This window comes from Homo sapiens, chromosome 17 (genome assembly GCF_000001405.40).
Source record: "Homo sapiens chromosome 17, GRCh38.p14 Primary Assembly".
In the NCBI taxonomy this organism is placed as follows: Eukaryota; Metazoa; Chordata; class Mammalia; order Primates; family Hominidae; genus Homo; species Homo sapiens.
The window spans coordinates 60356468-60376797 of record NC_000017.11 but is presented as its reverse complement, the minus strand read 5'-3'; the positions used below and the strand labels follow the sequence as shown (position 1 = coordinate 60376797).

The 20330-nt window shown below is 41.0% G+C and overlaps 1 protein-coding gene across 8 annotated transcripts in view; it reads left to right on the top strand.

The window, feature by feature from the left end:
* The window catches only part of USP32 (ubiquitin specific peptidase 32), a 245090-nt gene that overhangs the window by 45619 nt on the left and 179141 nt on the right, over nt 1–20330 (top strand). The gene's annotated exons all lie outside the window — the stretch shown is intronic.

The following is a 20330-nucleotide window of genomic DNA, read 5'->3' as shown; positions in this document are numbered from 1 at the left end:
GTAATCCCAGCACTTTGGGAGGTGGAGTCGGGCGGATCACTTGAAGTCAGGAGTTCGAGACCAGCCTGGCCAACATGGTGAAACCCTGTCTACTAAAAATACAAAAATTAGCTGGGCGTGATGGCAGGCACCTGTAATCCCAGCTACTTGGGAGGCTAAGGCAGGAGAATTGCTTGAATCCGGGAGGCAGAGGTTGCAATGAGCCAAGATTGCCTCACTGCACTCTAGCCTGAGCGACAGAGTGAGACTCTGTCTCAAAAAAAAAAGAAAAGGAAAAAAAAAGAAAATTTCCCAAAATTCAAATGTCATTTCACTGCGTGGCTTTGTTTGATTATTAATACTTTAATACTGTGTTTAAAATTAATATTTATTATTTTTAAAAATCAGCTTCCTTAGGTCGAAGAAACATTAATGTTTAATATTAAGCTATTATTGTAGCTTAGTGTAGTTATAATAAGATACTGGAACTCATGGAAGGGGTTAGATTTTCTTCATCTTAGAAACCGTTACTTTTCATAAAATATATATTGTGCAATTATATATAAAATTATTTAATAATTAGATATACAAATAAAAAATCGGATTATAGTTGGGCTCAGTGGCTCGCATTTGTAATCTCAGCTCCTTGGGAAGCTTAGACTGGAGGATTTCTTGAGTCCAGAAATTTGAGGCTGTAGTGAGCCATGATTGTGCCACTGCATTCCAGCCTGGGCGACAGGAGTGAGACCCCGTCTCTAAAAACAAAAACTAAAAAAAATTAGATTATAATTGGCAAAAGATTGAGTGACAGTGAAAATGCAATGAATATTTTGACTACTATTTTTTGATTACACACATAGGAAGATACAAATTTTTCTGTCTTTCCAAATTAGTTTAGAAATTAAAGATTTGGCCGGGCATAGTGGCTCACCCCTGTAATCCGAGCACTTTGGGAGGCTGAGACAGGCAGATCACCTGAGGTCAAGAGTTTGAGACCACCCTGGCCAACATGGTGAAACCTCGTCTCTACTAAAAATACAATAAAAATTAGCTGGGCATGGTGGCATGCACCTGTAGTCCCAGCTACTTGGGGAGACTGAGGCAGGAGACTCACTTGAACCCAGGAGGCGGAGGTTGCAGTGAGCCAAGATCGTGCCACTGCACTCCAGCCTGAGCGACAGAGCGAGACTCCATCACAAAAACAAACAAACAAACAACAACAAAACACCAGAAAAAGGAAAAATAGTGTTAAGAGATAATTTAGTATGTATTGTTTGTACACTTCATGGGTGTGCATATATGACGTGTTTGGTTTTATAGTGAAAATTCTAACATTCTGCTGTATGGTTTATGGTGCATTGTAGACGTTCCTTTAAGTACTCAATGATAAAGATGAAAATTACTAAGATAGAGAGTAAATCTATATTATATGTAGTCATTTCTCAGTTTGCATAGTAGTATGGGACTGTAAAAATGACCATGCAAGCTGAGACTATTCAAAGGGATCATAGTAATCAGTGGAAAAGATTATGATTGTTCTGTGTGACCTTTAAAATTTTTTGTCAAAACATTAAAAACTCTCTCACAGTTGGTTATAGATATATAGGGTAAGAAGAAGCGTGGTATCCACAGAGAAGGAGGGAGCTTCATAAACAAAGACAAACAGGAATATCAACTACCAGCCACCAACAGCACTTTTGTAAAACTTATTTAAATATTACAAAAAACAATATACAAGATTACTAAGAGATTGGAAGATAAAGGGAGAAAATTTCACTAATGATCTCATCACCAAACACAGCTAATTATTTGCTGTTACTCTTTTTTCAAATTAGTGTTTAGTATTGTTTTAATCATAATGTACATAAAATTTTGTATCTTGCTTTTTCTGAGATGTCTGTTTCTGTCCATGTTATACATACCTATACAGTCATGTGCTGCATGATGATGTTTTGGTTAACGATGGACTGCATACACAACTGTGATCCCATAAGATAATAGTAGAGCTGAAAAATTCCTATTGCCTAGTGACATCGTAGCCATTTACTTGTTTTTGCTTTTTGCTTTTTTTATGTAGTCATTTACTATACTATACCTTTAATCATTATTTTAGAGTATACTCCTTCTATTTATTTAAATAAAAGTTGGCTGAACGTGGTGGCTCCCACCTGTAATCCCAGCATTTTGGGTGGGTTGCTTGAGCCCAGGAGTTTGAGACCAGCCTGGGCAACATGGTGAAAACCTGTCTCTACAAAAAATACAAAAATTAGGCACACGCCTGTGGTCCTAGCTACTCAGGAGGCTGGAGTGGGAGGATCACTTGAGCCTAGGAGGTTCAGGCTGGGGTGAGCCTTGATCACGCCAGTGCACTCTTCCAGCCTGGGAGACAGAGTAAGACTCTGTCTCAAAAAAAAAAAAACAAAACTTAACTGTAACAGCCTTAGGCAAGTCCTTCAGGAGGTATTTCAGAAGAAGGCATTATTGTCATAGAAGATGACAGCTCCATGTGTGTTATTGCCCTGAAGACTTTCCAGTGGGACAATACGTGAAGGTGGAAGACAGTGATATTGATGATCTTGATGCTGTGTAGGCCTAGGCTAAGGTGTGTGTTTATGTCTTTTTTCTTTTTTTTTTGGAGACAGAGTCTCACTCTGTCCCTGAGGCTAGAGTGCAGTGGTGTGATCTCTGCACACTGCAACCTCCGCCTCCCTGGTTCAAGCGATTCTCTTGCCTCAGCCTCCCAAATAGCTGGGATTACAGGTGCATGCCACCACACCCAGCTAATTTTTGTATTTTTAGTAGAGATGGGTTTTGCCATGTTGGCCAGGCTGGTCTTGAACTCCTGACCTCAGGTGATACGCCCACCTCGGCCTCCCAAAGTGTATGTCTTCATTTTTAGCAAGAAAGCTTAAAAAGGAAAATAAAACATGAATAGTAAAAACTTTTTAAATAAAGATATAAAGAAAAAATATTTTTGGACACTGTACAATGTGTTTTAAGGTAAGGGTTATTATAAGAGCCAACAAGTTAAATTTAAAAGTTTATGAAGTAAAAAAGTTACAGTAAGCTGGCTGGGCATGGTGGCTCACGCTTGTAACCCAACACTGTGGGAGGACGAGGCGGGTGGATCATTTGAGGCCAGGAGTTTGAGACCAGCCAGGCTAACATGGTGAAACCCTGTCTCTCCTAAAATATACAAAAATTAGCCGGTTGTGGTGGTGCACGCCTGTAATCCTAGCTACTCAGGAGGCTGAGGCTGAGGCACGAGAATTGCTTGAACCCAGGAGGTGCAGGTTGCAGTGAGCCAAGATCGTGCCACTGCACTCTAGCCTGGGTGTCAAAGCAAGACTTGGTCTCAAAAAAAAAAAAAAAAAATTACAGTAAGCTAAAATTAATTTATTATTGAAGAAAAAATTAGTAAATTTGGTGTAACCGAATTGCACAGTGTTTATAAAATCTACTGCAGTACTCCATGGTAATGTCCTAGGGCTAGGACTTCAACATTGACTCACCCCTAAGTCTCTCACTGACTCACCCAGAACAACTTCTCATCCTGCAAGCTCTATTCATGGTAAGTGCCCTATATAGGTGTACCTTTTTTAAAAAAAGATTTTTAGTTTTGTCTCGAGACAGGGTCTTGTTCAGTCACCCAGGGTAGATTGAAGTGGCGTGATCATGGCTTACTGTAGCCTCGAGCTCCTGGGCTCAAGAGATTGTCTCCCACTTTAGCCTCTAGCTATCCTCCCACCTTAGCCTATAGAGTAGCTGCGACTATGGGTGCATGCCACCATACCTGGCTGATTTTTTTGTTTTTTATGTTTTGTAGAGACCTCGCTATGTTAGCCAGGCTATTCTTGAACTCCTGGGCTCAAGTCTCCTGCCTTGGCCTCCCAGAGCTCTGAGATTACAGATGTGAGTCACCAAGCCCAGCCTAGGTGAACCATTTTTTTGTCTTTTTTTTTTTTTTTTTTTTAGACAGGGTCTCACTCTGTCACCCAGGCTGGAGTGGCATGATCATAGCTCACTGCAGCCTGGACCTCTTGGGCTCAAGGGCTCAAGTTATCCTCCTGCCTCAATGTCTTCAGTAGCTTGGAGGCACATGCCACCAAGCCTGGGAAATTTTTCTTTTTTTTTTTTTAATGTAGAGAACGGGGTCTTACTGTGTTACCCAGACTGGTCTCAAACCCCTGGCCTCAAGTGATTCTCCCACCTCAGTCTTCCAAAGTGCTGGGATTACAGGAGTGAGCCACCGTGCCTGGACTTTTTTTTTTTTTTATCTTTAAGGCTATATTTTTACTATACCTTTTCTATGTTTAGATATGTTTAGATACACAAATACTGTGTTACAGTTGCCTCCAATATTCAGTACAGTAATATGCTGTGTAGGTTTGTAGCCTAGGAGTAATAGGCCATCCCATATAGCCTAGGTGTGTAGTAGTCTATACCATCTAAGTTTGTGTAAGCACGCTGATGTCTGCACAATGATGAAATCACCTAACGATGCATTCCTGTCATTTGTGATGCATAACTGTAGTTTAAAGTGTTAATAGCTTGACCAGGATTTGTTAAATGACAACCAGCTCCTTAATTTTCCTTGGCATTTTCCTTCTCTTAGAGGAGACCACTTTGTATTCTTTTAGTTGATCTTTGGTATTTGGTATTGATTTTTCAGTTTCAGCATTATCTGTTGACTTCCCACTTCTGAGCATGAGAATTTAGTTGTCTCTCCCTTCCTTCCACCTTAGCCACTTCCCCTTCCCCTCTCCCTGTTACTTAATCCTACCGCAATAGTTATATGGTAATTTTAGATAACTGTTAAATGTTTACCTTATGAGCATATGCGTAGGATTCACAGCTGAAATTAGGTAGTAAGTTTTGATTACTTTTCTAGCACAATGTTTGTTTTCCTTGGAGCTGATGACTGATTTTATTTGTGTTTGCTTAGTATTCTAAGTATTTATCACTAATTCAACCCTGAACACTGTCACTTGCCTAAGTCTCCTTTCAAGACTATGAGTTGTTGGCAGTTTATTCTTCTAATGTCTCATGTGGCCTTTTTACTTACATGAAAGGAGCTTGCAGGACTGGTGCTTCATATTGTCAGTCTTTCAGTTTAGCCATCCTGATTGTTGGAAAGTAGTATCTCAATGTGGATTAATCTGCATTTCCTTGACTAAGTGATGTTGAACACCCTTTATATGTGCATGTTGGCCATTTATACATGTGTTTCATTTAATTTTTTTTTTTTTTGAGACAGAATCTTGCTCTGTTGCCCAGGCTGGAGTGCAGTAGTGCAGTCTTGGCTTATTGCAACCTCCACCTCCCAAGTTCAAGCGATTCTCCTGCCTCAGCTTCCTGAGTAGCTGGGATTATATAGGCGTGTGCCACCGCACCTGGCTGATTTTTGTATTTTTAGTAGAGACGGGGTTTCACCACATTGGCCAGGCTGGTCTTGAAATCCTGACCTCAGGTGATCCACCCGCCTTGGCCTCCCAAAGTGCTGGGATTATACGTGTGAGCCACTGCGCCCGGCCATTTAATTTTTTTTTTTTTTTTTTTTTTTTTAATTTTTAGAGACAGAGTCTTCCCCTGTTGCTCAGGCTGAAGTGCAGTGGTGCTCACTGCAGCCTTGGAACTCTTGGGCTCAAGCAATCCTCCTGCCTCTGCCTCTGGAACAGCTGGGACTATGAGTTCACACCACCATACCCAGCTAATTGTTTTTAATTAATTAATTTATTATTTTTATTTTTATTGTAGAGATGGGGGTCTCACTGTGTTGTCTAAGATAGTCTCAACCTCCTGGTCTCAAGCAATCTTCCAGCCTTGGCCTCTCAAAGTGCTGGGATTATAGGCATGAGCCACCATGCCTTGCTACTTTTAATTTTTTTAGAGATGGGATCTTGCTATGTTGCTCAGGCTGGTCCCAAACTCCTGGCCTCAAGAGACACTCTTGCCTCAGCCTCCCAGTTGCTGGGATTACAAGCATTGAGCCACCACAACTTGCTGCTCAAAATGTATTTTTTTCTCTTTTCTTCTTTTTTTTTTTTTTTTTTTGAGACAGTAGCATTTCACTCTGTCACTCAGGCTGGAGTATAGTGGTGTGATCACAACTCACTGTAGCCTCGACCTCTCGGGCTTAAGGGATCCTTCTACCTCAGCCTCCTCCTGAGTGGTTGGGTGGGCACCACCATGCCCAGCTAATTTTTTTTGTATTTTTTTTTGTAGAGGCAGGGTTTTGCCATGTTGCCCATGCTGGTCTTGAACTTCTGACCTCAAGTGATCCTCCCGCCTCGGCCTCCCAAAGTGTTGGGATTACAGGTGTGAGCCATTGCATCCAGCCTCAAATAATTTTTTGAAAGTGGAATCTGAGTGTTAATTTACTAAAACCCTTTCAGCATTTGGTATTATCATTTGCAAAAAATTCTTTGCTAATTGAGTAATCTAAAATGGTAGCTTGTTTTAATTGGTTTTTTTTGGATTGGTGTCAAAGTAGAACCTTTCCCATTTTTGGTAGTTGTATTTCTTCATTATTTTCATTGTCTTTTTGTCCTTTGTTGTTGTCATCATTTTAGTTCTTAAAGATGTGTTTGTTTAAACATTTAAAAAAATTCTTTTTATTTTTATAATTTTTTCTTTTACTTTTCTGGCTAGAGGCTGAGACAGGAGAATTGCTTGAACCCAGGAGGTGGAGGATGCAGTGAGCTGAGATGGGGCCATTGCAATCCAGCCTGGGCAACAAGAGTGAAACTCTGTCTCAAAAAAAAAAAAAATTATTTTGTAGGCTGTGCACGCTGGCTTACACCTGTAATCCCAGGAGTTTGGGAGGCCAAGGTGGGAGGATTACTTGAGGCAGGAGTTCGAGACTAGCCTAGGCAACATAGTGAGACCTTGTCTCTACAAAATCTTTTTTTTAATTAGCTGAGCATGGTAGCAAGTGCATGTAGTCCTAGCTGCTTGAGAGGCTGAGGCAGGAGAATCACTTGAGCCAGGGAGTTCAAGTCTGCAGTGAGTTATGATTACTGCACTCCAGCCTGGGTGACAGCAAGAACCTGTCTCTTAAAAAAAAATCATTGTGTAGAACTTAATAAGTACCTTGAATTTAATCAACTATTTCACTAATTTGCTGCAAGTATTTTCTCCAGTTAGTTTAACATTGCTATTTGTTTTGTATTGCTACTTTTAATGTGTATGAGTTAAAATTTTGTATATGTCAGATCTGCCAATTGTTGTGTTTCTGTTTCACTTCTGAAGTTTTACATTTTTACTCTTACATATATCTGAAAAACAATTCTAATTTATGACTTCATATTTCTAGTGTTTAACTTTTTAAAATTCACCCAAAATTTATCTTGGAGTGTAGTAAAAAGTTAGGATTTTTTTTTTTTTTTTTTTTTTAGGTAGGGGTCTTGCTATGTTGCTTAGGGTGTCTTGAACTTCTGGGTTCAAGTGATCCTCCCACCTCAGCCTCCCAAGTAGCTGGGATTACAGGCAGATGTCACCATGCCTGGCTTAAAAAATATCTTTTGGCCGGGCGCGGTGGCTCACGCCTGTAATCCCAGCACTTTGGGAGGCCGAGGCGGGCGGATCACGAGGTCAGGAGATCGAGACCATCCCAGCTAAAACGGTGAAACCCCGTCTCTACTAAAAATACAAAAAATTAGCCGGGCGTAGTGGCGGGCGCCTGTAGTCCCAGCTACTTGGGAGGCTGAGGCAGGAGAATGGCGTGAACCCGGGAGGCGGAGCTTGCAGTGAGCCGAGATCCCGCCACTGCACTCCAGCCTGGGCGACAGAGCGAGACTCCGTCTCAAAAAAAAAAAAAAAAAAAAATCTTTTAAAAAATAATTCGTGTATGTGTACTAACTCCTTTTCTGCCTCATATGTTTTGTTTTAATTTTCTCCATGTTGTCTTGCATCAGAAACTTTTTCATTTTCTCAGAGAAACTTGGATTGCATTATATGAAGTCCAGACTTTTATTTGTTTTGGTTTGGTTGTTTGGGAAATGTTTGTACACTTTCGCTTATATGTATTAAAACTTAATAATGTTGCCATTTCGAGGTTGTGTATAGAACCATGTATGATTATTAGGAAATTGCTGACAACTGTGAAGTGCTTACTATGTGCAGTAGAAACATAAACCCCTGGACTTACTTTATGTTTACTATTTTTTGATGGGTAGATTTAATTCTTAGTTTTAATAGTTTTTGTGTGTATGTGGGTTTTTTTTTGGTAATATTCTTGGTTTTTCACTAGGACCTCAGTTTAAATATATTTTCCCCTCGTTTCCCCCGCCCCCCAACCGCAATGGCCCTGTAACTAGTAGTCTTGTTTTGTTTGAAGCAGAGTCTTTTGTTGAAAAGATTTTCCTCTAGTAGAGAAGCTCTTTTAAATGTTTATATTGGGATTTCTTACTAACTATAACAATAGAACACTTTTCCCTGTTGACTTCTATGAAGTGAAAATATTTACTACATAGTGAAATAAAAAGCAATCTAATGTGTATTTCATTCTATTGCGTTAAAAAATTACATTAAAATAAACAGGAAGCATTATACTATCCAGTGCTGTTGTACAGTGTGAAATGCTTCAGTATCTCTAAATACTGTATTTCTCTTTCTGCGGGAAGGTTGGAATTGTATGAAACAGGGTGAAGTTGATTAGGTGGAATTTTGTTTTGTTGTTGTTGCTGGTTAGCTTATATGGCTCTTTGAAGGACAGGAGTCCCTTGGTGTCTGTGGGGAATTGGTTCTAGGGCCCCCTGCAGATACTGAAATCCAAGGATGCTCATGTTTCTTATATAAAATGGTGTAGTATTTGCATGTAACCTAAGCAGAGCCTCCTGTTATCTCTAGATTACTTATAATTCCTAATACAGTGTAAGTGCCGTGTAAATGGCTGTTACACTGTATTGTTTAGGGAATGATGACAAAAAAAGAAAAAAAAAAGCCTGTACGTGTTTGGTACAGAGGTAGCCATCCATTATTTTTTCTGCATATTTGGTTTTGTTTTGTTTTAGACAGGGTCTCACTCTGTCACCCAGGCTGGAGTACAGTGGGGCCATGTCAGTTCACTGCAACCTCTGCCTCCCAGGTTCAAGTGATTCTCATGCCCCAACCTCCCAAGTAGCTATAAGTATAGGCATGTGCCACCACACCTGGCTCATTTTTGTATTTTTGGTAGAGATGGGGTTTTGCCATGGTGGCCAAGCTGGTCTTGAACTGACGTCAAGTGATCCACCCACCTCAGCCTGCCAAAGTGCTGGGATTACAGGTTTGAGCCTCCATGCCCAGCCTGAATATTTTCTTTCTTTCTGTTTTGTGAGACACGTTCTGTTGCCCAGCTAGAGTGCAGTGGCATGATTCGGACTCACTGCAGCCTCAGCCTCCTGGGCTCAAGTGATCCTCCCACCTCAGCCCTCTGGTAGCTGGGACTACAAGCATGAGCCATCACGCCCTGCCAATTGTTTTTGAATTTTAGTAGAGACAAGGTCTCATTATATTGCCTAAGCTGTCTTGAACTCCTGAGTTCAAGCAACCCTCCTGCCTTGGCCTCCCAAAGTCGTAGGGTTACCAGCTTGAGCAACCACTCCCGACCTCTGAATATTTTGTATCCTCGGTTGGTTGAATCTCTGGGTATGGAACCCATGGATATGAAGGAGCAACTGTAGGTGAGATTCTTTTCAAAAGTGGGCTTAGGCTAGGCGCGGTGGCTCACGCCTGTAATCCCAGCACTTTGGGAGGCCAAGGGGGGCGGATCACAAGGTCAGGAGATTGAGACCATCCTGGCTAACACGGTGAAACCCCGTCTCTACTAAAACTATAAAAACAAAATTAGCTGGGTGTGGTGGCGGGCTCCTGTAGTCCCAGCTACTCGGGAGGCTTAGACGAGGAGAATGGCGTGAACCTGGGAGGCGGAGCTTGCAGTGAGCCGAGATCGCACCCTGGCACTCCAGCCTGGGTGACAGAGCAAGACTCCCTCTCAAAAGAAAAAAAAGAGTGGGCTTAAAATCTTTATATACTTTAGTAATAGCGTGTCTCTGTTTCTTCAAGAAAAGCAGCATGAAAAAAAAAAAACCAACTTTTTTTTGAGACGATGTCTTGCTGTGTTTCCCAGGATGGTCTCAAGCTCTTGGGCTCAAGTGATCCTCCTGCCTCAGCCTCCTGACTATCTAGGATTACAGGTCTGGGCCACAGCACCTGGCTTATTTTAGTTCTAAATGTCATAGTCCAAGAACTATTACCATTAAAAAATGGCGGGCTGGGTGCAGTGGCTCACACCTGTAACCCTAGCACTTTGGTAGGCTGAGGTGGGTGGATCACCTGAGGTTGGAAGTTCGAGACCAGCCTGACCAACATGGAGAAACCCCGTCTCTACTGTGGCTCATGCCTGTAATCCCAGCACTTTGGGAGGCCGAGGCAGGTAGATCACGAGGTCAGGAGTTCAAGACCAGCCTGGCCAACATAGTGAAACCCCGTCTCTACTGAAAATACAAAAATTAGCTGGGCCTGGTGGCATGTGTCTGTAATCCCAGCTACTTGGGAGGCTGAGGCAGGAGAATCGCTTGAACTCCTGAGGCAGAGGTTTCAGTGAGCCGAGATCGCGCCACTGCACTCCAGCCTAGGCGACAGAGCAAGACTCCGTCTCAAAAAAAAGAAAAAAGAAAAAAGAAAAAAAACTTAGCCCGGCGTGGTGTCACATGCCTGTAATCCCAGCTACTGGAGAGGCTGAGTCAGGTGAATCTCTTGAACCTGGGAGGCAGAGGTTGCGGTGAGCCGAGATCGCGCCATTGCACTCCAGCCTGGGCAACAAGAGCGAAACTCCGTCTCAAAAAACAACAACAACAACAAGAAAAAGGGAGCGAGACCCTCTCTCTAAACCAAAAATGAACCGAAAAACCCCACATAGCCCTCCAAATGGATTAATTTCTCATGTCAGTTTGGAGTTGACACTTTGCAGAAGTTTGTATTCAAGGCCAAACTCTTTGGTAGATTTATTCTGGTTTTTCTCTTATATATTTGTTCTGGGCATTATTTTTGGTATTTTAATAAAATTACATACAAAATTTTATTTATAAAAATGGTTTATCTTAATGCATTCTTTTAATAATTACTTTGTTTCTGACAACTTCGTAACTATTACCATGAAGTCACAATATAGACTAATGAAAAAAGTAATAAAAGTTTTGTACTTAAGGAGGACAAGAGTTCCTTGGGGAAATACTGAGTGAATGCTTACAGGGAAGATAATTCTTTAGTTACAGATTAATTCCTTGAAAGTTAAATTCAACTTTAAAACATGGTCATTTATATTTTATTTATTTATTTATTTATTTATTTTTTGAGATGGAGTCTCGCTCTGTCACCCAGGCTGGATTGCAAGTGGCCTGATCTTGGCTCACTGCAACCTTCACCTTCTGTGTTCAAGCGATTATCCTACCTCAGCCTCCTGAGTAGCTGGGATTACAGGCACGTGCCACCATGCCTGGCTAATTTTTATATTTTTTCATTAGAGACAAGGTTTCACCACGTTGGCCAGGCTGGTCTCTAACTCCTAACCTCATGATCCACCCGCCTCGGCCTCCCAAAGTACTGGGATTACAGGTATGAGCCACCGCACCCGGCTAAAACATGGTCATTTTTAAAGAAATAAGCTTATTTATGAAATCAGATTAACTGAATAGAGCTTAGTTGATAATGAAGACTGGAAAACAATGAACATTTTCTTCATTTAAAAAAAACTTTCCCTTTTTGAAATAACATGATTTCTTAACTAAAAGGCATAAGGAATTTACTTTCAACTTGAGTATTATGGGTTTAGATAGTACTAGTAGTAATGTATAACATCTGACCTTTTTGTAATCATTTGATGAAGATGTAAATCCATGTTGTTATTTGTGGCTTTCTTTACAAATATAAAATTTGGGTCTAAAATATAAGGTTTGACTTGTATATAGAAGATGAATCTCATTAGAGGATTAGGTTTTTGTTTCTTCACAAACATTAGTGAACAATGGAATTTATGGATAAATTATGGATAAATTATGTTGGCCTTTATTATGTTGTAAAAGACTGCTAATAAAAGTGAAATAGAATGGACATAGTAAATGATTGTAAATTCATGAATGTTAAATATGATTGGCTTGGGCTGCTGAGTGTGGTGGCTCTCGCCCATAATCCCGGCACTTTGGGAGGCAAGGCAGGCAGATCACTTGAGGCCAGGAGTTTGAGACCAGTCTGGCCAACATGGTGAAACCCTGTCTCTACTAAAAATAGAAAAATTAGCCAGGCATGGTGGCGCGCACCTATCTGAGCTACTTGGGAGGCTGAGGCACGAAAGTTACTTGAACTTGGGAGGCAAAGGTTGCGGTGAGTGGACATCGCGCCACCGCACTCTAGCCTGGGTGATGGAGTGAGCTTCTGTCTGAAACAAACAGACAACCCCTCAAAAACCAAATAAATATGATTGGCTTAGCAGGTGCTGTGATCTGAGTGTTTGTTCCCTTATACCACCAAATTCATATGTTGAAACCTAATTCCCAATGTGATTGTATGAAGAAGTGGGGCCTTCAGGAATGATTACTTCATGAGGGCTCTGCCCTCATGAATGGGATTAGTGCCCTTCTAAAAGAGGCCTGAGAGAACTTGCTTTGCCCCACCATGTCAGGACACAGAAGGTACCATTTATGAGGAAAAGGCTCTCACCAGACACTGAATCTGCTGGTACTTTGATCTTGGACTTCTCAGGTTCCAGAGCTGTGAGCAGTAAATTTCCCTGGTTTATAAATTATCTAATCTGAGATATTTTGTTGTAGCAGCCTGAACAGATTAAGCATGTTTTGGGGGAATAATAGTGCACGAGAATCATCACTGATTACTTTAGGGAAGCTGAAAACTTGTAACCTTGTCTGTAAGGTGCCCCCCCAACACTTCCTTCTTTCTCCCTCCCTTCCTCCTTCCTTCTCCCAAAAACAAAGGAACCAACACAGAGTTGATAAATTACAAGAATTTTATGAAATTATACCTATTCAGGCACAGTGGCTCACGTGTATAATCTCAGCATTTTGGGAGGCTGAGGTGGGAGGATTGCTTGAGCCCAGGTGTTTGAGACTAGCCTGGGCAACGTAGGGAGACTCCATCTCCACCAAAAAACCCTGAAAAAAACAAAAAATTAGCTGGGCATGGTGGCATGGACCTATGGTCCCAGCTACTAAGGAGGGTGAGAGTGGGAAGTCAAGCCTACAGTGCACTACTGTACTCCAGCCTTGGCGACAGAGTGAGACCCTGTCTCAAATTTTTTTTTTTTTGAGACAGAGTCTTGCTCTGTCACCCAGGCTGGAGTGCAGTGGCGCTTTTTTTTTTTTTTTTTTGAGACAGAGTCTCGCTCTGTCACCCAGGCCGAAGTGCAGTGGCGCAATCTTGGTTCACTGCAACCTCCACCTCCCGGGTTCAAGCAATTCTCCTGCCTCAGCCTCCTGAGTAGTTGGGACTACAGGTGCACGCCGCTACGCCCAGCTAATTTTTTGTATTTTAGTAGAGACGGGGTTTCATCGTGTTGCCTAGGCTGGTTGCGAACTCCTGAGCTCAGGCAATCTGCCCGCCTCAGCCTCCCAAAGTGCTGGGATTACAGGTGTGAGCCACCGCGCCTGGCCTCAAAAAATTTTTTTTTAATTTAAAAAATTTAATATTTTTTAAAAAATAGAGATGGGGTCTCACTGTGTTGCCCAGGCTGATCTTGAACTCTTGGTCTCATGTGATCTTCCCTCCTTGGTCTCCCAAATGCTAGGATTATAGACCTGAGCCACTGTGCCTGGCCAAAAATTCTTTTTAAAGAGTAAAATGCTGGATTAGATGCAACATTTATTATTAATCTTATTTTGTTTAATGAGTTAAAGACAATCAGTTATTACAATTTGGTTAGATTTGTAAAGGAAATTGGACTATTAGCTGCCTTTTGACTAAGGTGTTTTTTGTTTTTTTTTTTCCTCTCCTGAGGGAAAGAAGGATACTTGGAAACATTTTTTAATATAGTTGAACTAATGAGTACCACATTTTTGATAGCTTCAGAAGTTTGTGAACCAGGAGAATGATAAATTGTGTATTTGATTCGAGAAACTGCTGGAAGCAAATGAATAAACTAGAACATTTGTCATCAACATATGTTAAATAGTCATTTTGTTATATTATGGAAACGAAAAAAACTAATGAATACTTAAGGACATTCTCTCCATGATATGTTTAAGACTCTCCTGCAGCGTTTAAGTATACAACAGATTTCCTGTGACAATAAACTAAGTGATGTCTTTCTAAATTTATGTTCTGTTCTTGTGGGCAGTTTTCAAAGACACATTCCTCCTCAGAAATTAATTTAAATTGTTAATTTTATAGTGGCATATTTTACATGTTTCAGAATGGGAGCATTCATTCTTAGTAGAGGAAAACCCATCCAACTTGCGTATTTCTCCATTTGTCCTCTAAAGTTTATAAATTGTTACTGGTTGATTCATGGACAAAGAGCTTTGTTGTACAACATACAGATTTCATTCTATATTTTTCTTCACATTTTTATGCTTGTTAATACGAACTTTCTGTTAGAAAAGAGCAGAATTTTCTCAGACTACGATTTTTTTTAATGTGATGTATTCAAGCTCAGGGATGCTGGGGGAACAGAAGTAGTGGCAGATGGGGCAACCTGATGCTTTGCAAAGATGGGGTGGTTCATTTTGATTACAGACACTGGCAGTCTGTGAAGTAAAGATATGGAGCCACCATCCATTCTACAGTCTGTACTAACCATGTGTATTGTGGTAAAGCCAAGAACAACTTTGTATGGACATAGTAGAAGGGAAGAGTGGATCCACTTTTAGTTTCCAGGCACATACCCACATATAGTAATACTGTTAACACTATATCTTTGTGTTAACATTGAGCATTGAGGCCAAATGGCATATATATATATACATGTATCTTTCTCTCTCCACACTGTTTTCTACTTTGAATTACAGATGGTCTGCTTGGGAATAGAAATGAGGACATAATAGCAGGGTGCCAGATTTATACCTTCTGAATGACAGGATAAGTGGATATTGATTTTTCTTCATTATTTAAACAGCTACCCTTAGATAGGCTATACAGGATAGGTTCTTCTATAATTTTTAAAAAGTTGAATTGTAGAAACTACTAAGCAATAGTGAACAAGAGGCTAGGAAAAGCACAATTGTGGGAATGTAAATTGGTAGAGCCACTTGGAAGGAAGTCTGGCAATGACCAAAAAACTGGGAATGACCCTAGTGCTCACTGGAGAAGCACTCTCTGTATGTATCTAAGGAGGCATGTATATGGTTTTTCATGACGGGTAACAGCCTAAATATGAACAGTAAGTGAATACCTGTATATTACTAATGTTATATAATGAAAAACTATACAGCACATAAGGAATGAACTAAATCTATATGTAGTAAGTTGCATTATAATATGTATTATATGCTAACCGCTGTAAGTTTCTGTGGGGGTACATCTTATAAAAGCATGGAAAAAGATCTGAAAGGAGACAAACCAAACTGATTATCTCTTGGGGAAGACTGAATGGGCACGGGAGGGATTAGGACTGAGGGGAGGAAGTAAGTAGGATTTTATGGTAGTGGTATGTTTAGCTTTATATATACCGGGTTTTTGTTGTTGTTGTTTGTTTGTTCTGAGGCAGAGTGTTGCTCTGTTGCCCAGGCTGGAGTGCAGTGGCATGTTCTCAGCTCACTTCAATCTCCGCCTCTCAGGTTCAAGCAATTTTCCTGCCTCAGTCTCCCCTGTAGCTGGAATTACAGGCATGTGCCACCACACCTGGCTAATTTTTGTATTTTTAGTAGAGATGGGGTTTCGCCATGTTGGCCAGGCTGGTCTCGAACTCCTGACTTCAAGCGATCTGCCTGCCTTGGCCTCCCAAAGTGCTGGGATTATAGGTGTGAGCCACCGCGCCCGGCCTACTTTATGTATACTGTTTGAATTTAGAAGAAGAATGCATTCACTTACTGCTTGTGTAATGAAAAACTAATTTAAAAAATTAATCCCAGCACAACAACCACATTTTTTTCACATTATCATCTACTTCTGCATGTATTTTGTATAGTTTTAGTTTTTGTTTGTTTGTTTTTTTGCGATGGAGTCTTACTCTGTTGCCCAGGCTGGAGTGCAGTGGTGCAATCTCAGCTCACTGCAACCTCTGCCTCCCTGCAACCTCCACCTCCAGGCTCAAGCAATTCTCCTGCCTCAGCCTCCCAAGTAACTGGGACTACAGGCATGTGCCACCACGCCTGGCTAACTTTTGTATTTTTAGTAGATACGGGGTTTCTCCATGTTTGCCAGGCTGGTCTCGAACTCCTGACTTCAGGTGATCCACCCACCTTGGCCTCCCAAAGTGCTGGGATTACAGGCATGAGCCACTGCGCCTGTAATACAAAATACAAATACAAAAATTTTTTGTATTTGTAAAAATACAAAAAATAATTTTTGTATTTTTAGTAGAGACGGGGTTTTGCCATGGTGGCCAGGCTGGTGTCAAACTCCTGACCTCAAGTCAGAAGGCCACCTCGCATCCCAAAGTGCTGGGATTACAGGTGTGAGCCACTGTGCCTGGCCAGGTTTAAGGATCTTTGTCTTACAGGGCCGGGCGCGGTGGCTCACGCTTGTAATCCCAGCACTTTAGGAGGCTGAGGCAGGTGGATCACGAGGTCAGGAGATCAAGACCATCCTGGCTAACATGGTGAAACCCCGTTTCTACTAAAAATACAAAAAAATTAGCCAGGTGTGGTGGTGGGCGCCTGTAGTCCCAGCTACTCGGGGGGCTGAGGCAGGAGAATGGTGTGAACCTGGGAGGTGGAGCTTGCTGTGAGCCGAGACTGCGCCACTGTACTCCAGCCTGGGCAACAAAGCAAGACTCCATCTCAAAAAAAAAAAAAAAATCTTTGTCTTACAAACATTGTCATGTTTCTATGAACTCTTTATTTATCTATTATTTTCAGAGACAAGGTCTCATTCTTTATGGAATGCTGGAGTATAGTGGTTCAATCATAGGTCACTGCAGTCTCCAATCCTGGGCTTAAGTGATCCTCCCACCTGAGTAGCTCCCAGCTCCTGAGTAGCTGGTACAGGTGCACACCACCATGCTAATATTTTTGCTTTTTGTAGAGACAGGGTCTCCCTGTGTGGCTCAAGCTGGTCTCAAACTCCTGGGCTCAAGTGATCCTCTCATCTCAGCCTCCCAAAGTTCTGGAATTACAGGTTTGAGCCACTGTGTCCTGCTTGAAAAAACATTTTTTCTGAGTTCTTACTGTGTGTCAGAAGTTGTTCTAGATGCTGAGGTTTAGTAATAAGCATAGGCCTTGGACAAGAGAATAGATAGCACATTTATTTGATCATTTAAAAAATTCTGTCTTTATCCAAAAATATCAATAATATTTAAGGTTCTTTGCTGGGTGTTGGGGATACATATAAATAAGGCAGTTTCTTTGTTCTTAAAGAGCAGAGGGGAGATATACAATTCAATAAACATACAATATAAGCTGTGTTATTTTAAAGTTAAAGCATTGAGAATTTGATATTGAATAAGTGATTATAAGGAAAGTTATTTTGTAGGAGGGACACCTAACATTTTAGGTGGTGGGGCATGGAAGCAATTAGAATAGGCTTCCAAAAAATAAAGGAGGGACATTAAGCCAAGCCTTGAAGGATGTTGGATTGTTCAGAGTATGATTGGAGCTCATAGGCAGAGGACACTGCAAGGACAGTAGCAGTGAACATAATGTGGTTAGGGAATGAGAAGTAGTTTGCAGCAGCTGGAACCTCTCGTGTGTCTCTACCTTCTGGTTCTAAGGTTTGCATTTTAAATTTTTATCAATTTATTGTGTGTTATAACATTTTAAATCTTTTTGGCCTAAGCCAGAGATTCTCAATCTTGGCAAGTGACATCCCTGTTGGCCCTGTAATCATAGACTAAGCTATATTTTCTTAGTTGTCAGTGGTGCCCCATGATGTAATATCAAAACCTTGCGAAGCACCGTCATCCTCAATATCCTGGTCTCATCTAGTTTCTCAAAATTAGATCTATGATAAACTCCTTCTGTAAGAATAATGTTCATTTTTTAATCTCATTTTTAGATGTTAAAAACTTACTTGACCTTCTGTTTTCCTAGTGGTCTTTTATATTCTTGAAGCACAGAGGACTATTACCTTTATTTTTATTTTTATTATGTTTTTTTGAGACAGAGTCTCCCTCTGTTACCCAGGCTGTAGTGCAGTGGCATGATCTCGGCTCACTGCAGCCTCTACCTACTGGGTTCAATGATTCTCCCACCTCAGCCTAGCAGGTAGCTGGGACTACAGGTACCCGCCACCACACCTGGCTAATTTTTGTATTTTTGGTAGAGATGGGGTTTTACCATGTTGGCCAGGCTGGCCTCGAACTCCTGACCTCAAGTGATCCACCTGCCTCAGCCTCCCAAAGTGCTGGGATTACAGGTGTGAGGTACCATGCCCAGCCTGGATTGTGTTCAAAAGTTCATCTGGAATTTAAAACTTATTTTTCCGTAGAAACAATGTTATAAGTGATGATTAGGTTCATAGGGTGGTGGCTTACAGAAAATTAAGTCATAGTATAGCTGAAATACTCTATATTTGCAATAAAAAAGTAGTAGAAACAATACTATGGGAATGCTAGATGAAGCAGACAATTAAATGGAAAAAGTCATTTAAAAATGTATCTAGGGCTGGGTGTGGTGGCTCACACCTGTAATCTCAGCACTTTAGGAGGTGGAGGCGGGTGGATCACCTGAGGTCAGGAGTTCGAGACCAGCCTGACCAACATGGTGAAAACCCCATCTCTACTAAAAATACAAAATTAGCTGGGTGTGGTGGCACATGCCTGTAATCCCAGTTACTTGGGATGCTGAGGCAGGAGAACTGCTTGAACCTGGGAGGTGGAAGTTGCAGTGAGTTGAGATTGCGCCATTGCACTCCAGCCTGGGCAACAAGAGTGAAACTCCGTCTCAAAAAAAAAAAAGTATCTAAATGCCAATGCTTGAGAATATGAATACTCTTCACTGCTGAGTCATCCAGTCCTTTCCAGAGATTAATTCAGCTTCAGCCTGAGAATGTTTAATGATATTAACTACTATTAATCACTTGGAAAGATAAAGGTACCCTTAGGACATTTTTGTCCTTTTGTATAAGGAATTGGGAGTTGTCAGCAAGAGATGTATGACTATGAATGTACTGATATATCTACATATATATATTTTTATTTTTATTTTTTAAGAGACAGGGTCTTGCTCTGTTGCTTGCTTGGTCTACATATCATATATATATTTATTTTTATTTTTAAGAGACAGGGTCTTGCTCTGTTGCCCAGGCTGGAGTGCAGGGGTTCAATCATAGCTCACTGCAGCCTCCAACTCCTGGGCTCAAGCAGTCCTCCTGCCTTGGCTTCCCGTGTAGCTGGAACCATAGGCGTGTATCACCATGCCTGCCTAATTATTATTTATTTTTTGTAGAGATGGGGTCTCCCTCTGTTGCCCAGGCTGGTCTTGAACTCCTGGTCTCAAGCTGTCCTCCCACCTGGACCACTCAGAGTTCTGGGATTAGAGGTGTGAGCCAGTGCCTGGCCTCTTCATTTGTTGTTCTTTCTGTTCCTCAGACTGGATAATCAAAATTGACTGTCTTCAAATTTTGCAATTGTTTTGTTTTTTTGAGATAAGGTCTTACTCTGTTGTCCCAGCTGGAGTGCAGTGATGCAATCATAGTTCACTGCAACCTCATACTTCTCAACTCCAGAATTGCTAATTGGTTTCTTTTTATAATATCCATCTCATCTCACTATTGATATTCTCCATTTGGTGAGACAGTGTTCTCATACTTGAAGTCATTAGGCATGTTTTTTTTTCTTCTTTGAACTTGTTTATAAATAGTTCATTAAAGTGTTTACCTAGTAAATCAAATGTCTGGACTTGCCTACAGACAGTTTCTATTTAATGCCCTTTTTCCTGTGTATGGGCTTCATTTTCTTACTTAAATGCTTTGCAATTTTTTGTTGAAAATGAGACATTTTAAGTACTGTAGTGTGGCAGCTCTGGAAATTGGATTCCCTACCTTAAGGTTTGTTACTGCTATTTGTTGTTGTTCCTGCTATTATTTATTTGCTTAGTGACTTTCTTGGTCTGATTTTATAAAGTGTGTATTCTTTTTTGTGTGTGCTTATTTAGCTTAGTGGTCAGCTAAGATTGGACAGAGACTTTTAAAAATGCCTTGAACCTATAAGTTCAGCCTTGGCGGAGGGGTTCTATACTACTCGGGTGTGTGTTCAAATGTTG